This window comes from Homo sapiens, chromosome X, assembly GCF_000001405.40.
Source record: "Homo sapiens chromosome X, GRCh38.p14 Primary Assembly".
Taxonomy (NCBI): Eukaryota; Metazoa; Chordata; class Mammalia; order Primates; family Hominidae; genus Homo; species Homo sapiens.
The window spans coordinates 667,834-676,302 of record NC_000023.11 but is presented as its reverse complement, the minus strand read 5'-3'; positions in this window follow the sequence as shown (position 1 = coordinate 676,302).

The window sequence follows — 8,469 nt, the reverse complement described above, 5'->3', positions numbered from 1 at the left end:
CTGGGGCCCTCAGGTAGCACCGGATCGAATTCTCGTCTCTCGTTGGATGTTTTTTATGGTGAGCTTCATTCGTGAAACACAGGCTCTGCTCCTCCAAGAAGCAGCAGAGCCAGCCCCCTCCCTGCACACGTCGTCATAAAGAGACAAAAGGCCTCCAGACGCTGGATGGGCCCTACCCGGGGGTCACACGCCTGCTGTCTCCACCAGAACAAAGCAGCTTGTGAGAAGGCGTGCCGGGGCACCCTTCTCCTTCTAAATCCACCCTTGGAAGGTATCATCTCACCGGGCCGACAATAACAAATGGCCTTCCCCAGGTATACCTCGGAAGGCAGGCTTGCAGGAACACAGCTCTCCTTTCAGGAGGGAGATTAGCTCCCCACATGTGTCACGGGCTCTCAGGAAACAGGGCTCTTGCTCTCTCTCAAAAAAAAAAAAGAAAAGAAAAGAAAAAGAAAAAGAAAGGGCTGGGCGTGGTAACCTGGGGCTGCTGCCCTATTACAGAGCTGGGACATGGACCCAGCATATCCCTGGAGGAATCCACAGCCAGGAAATGGGGCCACACTCAGAAATGGTCCAGGAGGGAGGGGAAGGCAGGGACGCAGGGGAGCCCGTGTTTTGCCCTGATGGTGGCTCAATTTATCAAGATCAGGGAACTGGGACTTACACAGTTTTTGCCACCAGGGCCTGAGCAGTCCCTTCATTCCTTCCTTCCTTTCTTCCTTCCTTCCTCCTTCCTTCCTTTCTTTCTCCTTCTTTCTTTTTCTTTGTTTTTCTTCTTTCTTTCTTGTCTTTCTTTCTTTCTTCCTCCCTTCGTTCCCTCCCTCCCTTTCTTTCTTTCTTTCCTTTCTCTCTCTCTCCGTTCCTTTCTTGCTTTCTTTTTCTTTTTTCCTTCCTTACTCCTTCCTTCTTATTTTTTTCTTTCTCTTTCTCGTTTTTCTTTCTTTCTTTCTCTTTTTGTTTTTACTTTCTTTCTCTTTCTTTTCCTCTTTCTTTTTCTTTTTAAAGAACTAGGCTCTTGCTCTGTGACTCAGGCTAGAGTGCACCGGTGCCATCAGAGCTCACAGCAGCCTCCGACTCCCTGGCTCACGCCCTCCTCCCACCTCAGCCTTCTGAGTAGCTGGGACCACAGATGCATGCACCGTGCCAGGCTAATATTTTTGTGCCTTTGTAAAGACGTGGTGTCGCTATGTTGCCCAGGCTGCTGTTTAAATTCTGGCCTCCAGTGATCCTCCTGCCTTGGCCTCCCAACGTGCTGGGATGACAGGCATGAGCCAGCATGCCTGGCCTTTACTTTCTTTTTGTTTCTACCTTTTAAACTTTCATTCCTTGATTCATTCATCATCATCTTTCCAAAATCCTGAGAAGGCTTACAACAAAACACATAAAATTGCAGGGCCCAGTGGCTCACGTCTGTCATCTCAGCACTTTGGGAGGCCGAGGCAAAAGGTGATCACCTGAGGTCAGGGGTTCAAGACAAGCCTGGCCAACATGGCAAAACCCCATCTATACTAAAAATAAAAAATTAAAAAATTAGCCAGCTGTGGTGACAGGTACCTGTAATCCCAGCTACTCGGGAGGCTGAGGCAGGAGAATCACTTCAACCTGGGAGGCGGAGGTTGTCGTGAGCCAAGATGGTGCCACTGCACTCCAGCCTGGGTAACAGAGGTGAGATCGCGTCATTGCACTCCAGCAGGGGGAACAGAGCTAAAGTCTATCTCAAAAAACAAAACAAGACAAAACAAAAAAAAAACACACAAAATGAAATCATTAACTACCATAGGAGCAGAGGTCAAGACTGAGGCAGGTCCATTCAGAGAATGACTTTCGTGGAGGGGTGACCTCAGCTCTGGGCTTCCCGGCAGCCATGGCAAAAAGGGAAAGACGTGCCACTTATGACCAGATCTGTCCTGTGATCTGTTCTTGGGAGAGGGATGGTCTCCTCTGTACTATAGTCTAAGAGCAGGTAGTGGGTTAATTTTTTATCCCCCCAAGAGATATGTCTGCGGACCCTTACTACCTGTGAATGGGGTGTTATTGAGAAATAGGGTGTTTGCAGATGTAATGAGGTTGAGATGAGGTTGTACTGGAGGAGGGTGGGCCCTAATTCAATGACGGTGACTTGCGATCCTTCCCCAGCTGGCTCCTTTATTCACTGGGATCTGATTTTTTACCCTTACTCCAACACTGCAACGAGGAGCCCTCTAGGTTCCAACCTTGGGGTCTCTGCCTCATCTGTGCCTCCCTGACCAGCAGTGGGGTCTCAGCAACACCTTTTTTTTTTTTTTTTTGAGACAGACTCTCGCTCTGTCACCCAGGCTGCAGTGCAGTGGTGTGATCTCGGCTCACTGCAACCTCCGCCTCCCAGGTTCAAGCCATTCTCCTGCCTCAGCCTCCTGAGGAGCTGGGATTACAGGTGCCCGCCACCATGCCCAGCTAATTTTTGTATTTTTTAGTAGAGACGGGGTTTCACCGTGTTAGCCAGGATGGTCTCAATCTCCTGACCTCGTGATCCGCCCGCCTCGGCCTCCCAAAGTGCTGGGATGACAGGGGTGAGCCGCCGCGCCTGGCCCTCTTCCCTCCTTTTGTCTCTGATATCCACGGCTCTCCCAACCTCCACATTCCTTGACTATCCCACGGGTCCATCCTGGGGTTCAGCGTATTGTCATATCACTGGCATTTTATTCTATTTTATTTTAAGATGGAGTCTCGCTCTGTCCCCCAGGCTGGAGTGCAGTGGTGTGATCTCGGCTCACTGCAATGTCCGCATCCGGGTTCAAGCGATTCTCCTGCCTCAGCCTCCCTAGTAGCTGGGACTACAGGTGCCCATCACCACGCCCGGCTACTTTTTTGTATTTTTAGTAGAGACGGGGTTTCGCCGCGTTGGCCAGACTGACCTCATGATCTGCGCACCTCGACCTCCCAAAGTGCAGGGATGACAGGCGTGAGACACCGTGCCCAGCTAATCTTGTATTTTTAGTAGAGATGGGGTTTCATTGTGTTGGCCAGGCTGTTCTGGAACTCCTGACCTCAGGTGATCCGCCTGCCTCAGCCTCCTAAAGTGCTGGGATGACAGGCGTGAGCCACCGCATCCGGCTGGTAGTGCTATTTATACAGCTCTCCTATCTCATCTCTCGTACTCTAGGGATATTGCACCTCCTCCAATCTCCTCCTTTGCAGACTCCTCACCATCCTGGAATGTCCGTGCCTCCAGGCTTGGTGTGGTGAAATCAAACAGCTTCACAAAGCGTCCATCCAAGGGCAGCCCTATAGTGGGTGTCACCTGCTCAGAGGACCCCACTGCAATGCCAACCCCCCACCCACCACATGCCTTTCACTGCTGGTTGCTCTTCCTTTCCCATCTCATAGTCCTAAATAATCAACTAGTGTCCACCACAAATGTCTTTTTAGCCTGTATCATACACAGGCAGACCATCTAGATATATCTACACACCTGCAGGGCGTCTACAGACATCTACACACATAGAAGGTGTCTACAGACATCTACACACCTTCTGGGTGTCTAAAGTCTACACACCTTCAGGGCATCTACAGACATCTACATATACAAGAATATCTTTCAGACTGTGTACTGCAAACTTGCGGTGTTGACAACATTTCTCATGAAAGTATCTGAAAAACGCCCAGTGCTTTGGAACGGTGGCTCAGGTATGGAAGGTCCAGATCTAGGCATTTCATAAAAGCTGTTCACGTCACTGTACCTTCCAGAGCAGCCGTCCGTTTGACTGTATGCACTTAACTGGGGGTAACCCTCATATTCTGTGTCCCTAGGTGAGTAATGATTCTATTAGCCACCCTGAACTCCGATCTCCGTTCCAGGCAAGACCCCAGAAGACAGATGGGTCCTCACGAGGCAACCGTATCAACACGACCTGTTCTTGCCACGAGTTGTCAGTGTTAGCAAATTGCTCATAATTGTGTATCAACGGGCAGAAGAGAAAGACGGTGCTGTGTGCTCTTATGATGGTATTGATTTTCAATGACACCCTCTCTCGGAGCTGTTTGTGTTGTGTCTTTGGCTTGAACGGCAGGGGAGTTTCTGGAGGGTATGCAATGGTGCCTCTGCGGGGGTAGCTGGAACTTCACACCCAGAATTTCCCATACATGGTCCCGGTATCATGTCAGACATGAGATTCCTATTTATGGCTGTGTTGCCTGGAAGCCACGGAGATGTTTAAAGGATCACAGATATCATACGTGTAGTGAGACCCTCTTTCTTTCAGCGTGGGTTTGGGATATGTCCAGGGCACACCTGCTGTGTGCAACGTGCAGGACAGGTCTTGGGGAGAGAGCGGGGAATGAGGTGGGATCCCTGCTGTTAACTTTTAAAAACACAATATATACATTTAGAAAGGGGAAGGAGACTTTATGTCTGGTAAAGAGTTAGAGGGCCGGGCACGGTGGCTCATGCCTGTCATCCCATCACTTTGGGAGGCGAGGCGGGCGGATCACCTGAGGTCAGGAGTTTGAGACCAGCCTGGCCAACATGGTGAAACCCCGTCTCTACTAAAAATAATAAAATTAGCCAGGCATAGTGGCAGGTGCCTGTAATCCCAGCTACTCCGGAGGCTGAGGCAGGAGAATCGCTTGAACCCGGGAGGCGGAGGTTGCAGTGAGCCGAGGTCGCGCCACTGCCCTCCAGCCTGGGTGAAAGAGCGAGACTCCATCTCAAAAAGAAAGAAAAGAGAAAAGAAAAACAGAAACAATTTTGCATCAACTTCAAGGAAAGCATTTTATTCTTCCCGACGGCCTCCTAAGAAAGGGGGGAAAGGAAAACAGAAACACAGCACTTTGGGAGGCCGAGGCAGGCAGATCACTTGAGGACAGGAGTTCAAGACCAGCCTGGCCAACATGGGGAAACCCTGTCTTTTCTAAAAATACAAACACTAGCCGGGCGTGGTGGCGGGCGCCTGTAGTCCCAGCTACTCAGGAGGCTGAGGCAGGAGAATGACTTGAAACAGGAACGTGGAGGTTGCAGTGAGCTGAGATCATACCATTGCACTCCAGCCTGGTGACAGAGCGAGACTCCGTCTCAAAAAAAAAAAAAAAAAAGAAAAAGAGAAGAAAAACAGAAACAATTTTGCAGCAACTTCAGGGAAGCATTTTCTTCCTCCCAATGGGCTGCAGAGAAAGGGGGAAACCCCCCAGGCCCAGGCCCACAGAAGATTGCTTTGTATTTGAAGCAGGGAGAAAAAGTTCAAAGAAAGTCTCTTGATTGTGTTCCTCTCCTCTCCCCTCCCGGCTTCATCCCTTATAACGATTATTTAATGAATTTTTATTAGAAAAGCATGGCCGTGCTTATGAATTTTTTTCTTCCCTCTGAAACCAGGAGCGGGGGGCGTGTTTTTGCTGGCATTAGCCTCTGTGTGTTTTAATAACAGGTTGCACCGAGGTTCACTCCGAAGCCGTAAGCTCACAAAGGGGAACTCTTCGGGAAAGGAAACCGTAGGCCTCATTCCAGAGCGAGGGGCCCCTCTTTGAAGTGAAGACAGGAAATGGGAACATGCCTGCCTGGGTCCCCACGGACCCCCCCCCCCCCAGCCCCGTCTTTCTTCCTCTGACTTTCCACCCTCTCCCTGGGCCTGAGGAGCACCAGAGGAAGGACGAGAAAGGGTGAAGGCAAACATCCACTTTCTTTTTCCCGGAATGAAATCACTACTATTTGCCTTGACATTTTATGTTTTGTTTTCCCTGCAGGACAGGTGAAAAGACAAACACGGACAGGGATTTGTTTCTAAAGTAAAGTTTATTTGTTTATTTATTTATCTATTTATTTATTGTAAGACGCAGTTTCGCTCTTGTTGCCCAGCCTGGAGTGCAGTGATGTGATCTCCGCTCACTGCAACCTCCGCATCCCGGGTTCAACCGATTCTCCTGCCTCAGCCTCCCGAGTAGCTGGGATTACAGGCACCCGCCACCACGCCCGCCTAATTTTTGTATTTTTTAGTAGAGACGGCATTTTGCCATGTTGGCCAGGATGGTCTCAATCTCTTGACCCTGTCATCCACCCACCTCGGCCTTCCAAAGTGCTGGGATTACAGACGTGAGCCACCGTGCCCGACCTATTTTTATTTTTTTACATTTATTTATTTATTTATTTTTTGAGACAGAGTCTCACTCTGTCGCCCAGCCTGGAGTGCAATGGCACGATCTCGGCTCACCGCAACCTCGGCCTCCCGGGTTCAAGTGATTCTCCTGCCTCAGCCTCCCAAGTAGCTGGGATTACAGGTGCCCACCACCACTCCCTGTTAATTTTTTTTTGTATTTTTAGTAGAGACAGGCTTTTGCTATGTTGTCCAGGCTGGTCTCAAACTCCTAACCTTGGCCTCCCAAAGTGCTGGGATTATAGGTGTAAGTCACCAGGCCTGGCCTTTGTTTTTTTGTTTGTTTGTTTGTTTTTAAATTTTACTTTAAGTTCTGGGGTACAAGTGCAGAACGTGCAGGTTTGTTACATAGGTATGCATGTGTCATGGTGGTTTGCTGCACCCATCAACCCATCATCTACATTAGGTATTTGTCCTAATGCCCTCCATCCCCTAGCCCCTCACCCCCCAACAGGCCCCCAGTGTGTGATGTTCCCCTCCCTGTGTCCATGTGTTGTCATTGTTTGACTCCCACTTATGAGTGAGAACACGTGGCGTTTGGTTTTCTGTTCCTGTGTGAGTTTGCTGAGAATGATGGTTTCCAGCTTCATCCATGTCCCTGCAAAGGACATGAACTCATCCTTTTTCATGGCTGCATAGTATTCCATGGTGTCTGTGTGCCACATTTTCTTTATCCAGTCTATTGTTGATGGACATTTGGGTTGGTTCCAAGTCTTTGCTATTGTGAATAGTGCCTCAATAAACATACGTGTGCATGTGTCTTTATAGCAGCATGATTTACAATCCTTTCGGTATATACCCAGTAATGGGATGGCTGGGTCCAATGTTACTTCTTGTTCTAGATCCTCAAGGAATCATCACACTGCCTTCCACAATGGTTGAACTTATTCACCTCCCACCATCGAGAGTAAAAGCTTTCCTATTTTTCCGCATCCTCAGAAAACCAAACACTGCATGTTCTCACTCGTAAGTGGGAGTTGAACAGTGAGAACACATGGACACAGGGAGGGGAACATCACACACCAGGGCCTGTGGGGGGATAGAAGGCAAGAGGATGGAGAGCATTAGGACAAATACCTAGTGCATGTGGGGCTTAAAACTTAGATAATGGGTTGATAGGAGCAGCAAACCACCATGGCACATGTATACATATGTAACTAACCTGCGCTTTGTGCACATGTACCCCAGAATGTGTTTAGTTAACACACATTTACTTACTTTTACTTAAGTAAAGTATGACTTTTTTAAAGTAAAATTTAAAAAATTAATTAATTAGCACATGTATCTCAGAAGTTAAAGTAAAATGTAAAAAATTAATTAGGCTGGGCGCGGTGGCTCATGCCTGTCATACCAGCATTTTGGGAGGCTGAGGAGGGCAGATCATGAGGTCAGGAGACCGAGATCATCCTGGCTAACACGGTGAAATCCCGTCTCTACTAAAAATACAAAAATTAGTCGGGTGTGGTGACGGGTGCCTGTAGTCCCAGTTACCCGGGAGGCTGAGGCAGGAGAATGGCGTGAACCCAGGAGGTGGAGCTTGCAGTGAGCCGAGGTAGCGCCACTGCACTCCAGACTGGGCAACAGAGCCAGACTCCATCTCAAAAAAAAGATTAATTAATTAATTAAAAAAATAAAAATAAGTAACAGAATCAGAAGGATGAGGTGGAAGGATCTCTTGAGCCAGAGAGGTGGAGGCTGCAGTGAGCCAAGATCGCACCACTGCACTCCAGCCTGGGTGACAGAGGAAGACCATTAGAAAAAAAAAAAAGAAGAAGAAAAAAAAGAAAAGAAGAGAAAAGAAGAGAAGAGAAGAGGAGGGGAGGGGATGGGAGGGGGGAGGAGAGTGAGAAGTGGGGGAGGGGAGGGGAGGGGAAGAGAGGAGGGGAGGGGAGGGGAAGATGGGAGGGAGGGGAGGATGGGAGGGGATGGGAAGGGGGAGGGGGAAAGGGGAGGAGAGGGAGGAGGGGAGGGGAGGGGAAGAGAAGAGGGGAGGGGAGGAGGGGACGGGAGGAGGGGAGGAGAGTAGGGGAGGAGGGGAGTGGAGGAGGGGATGGGAGGGGGGAGTGGGAAAGGAGAGGGGAGGGGAGGAGGGGAGGGGAGGAGGGGAGGGGAGGAGGGGAGGAACAGAGGGAAGGGGAGGAGGGGAGGGGGGAAGGGGAAGGAGAGGGGAGGAGGGGAGGGTAGGAGGGGAGGGGAGGGGATGTGAGGGGGTGAAGGAGAGGGGAGGGGAAGAGGGGAGGGGAGGGGAGGACGGGAGGGATGGGATGGGGGAGGGGGAAAGGAGATGGGATGGGAGGAGGGGGAGTAGAGGGGGAGGGGGAGGGGATGGGGAGGGCAGGGGAGGGGA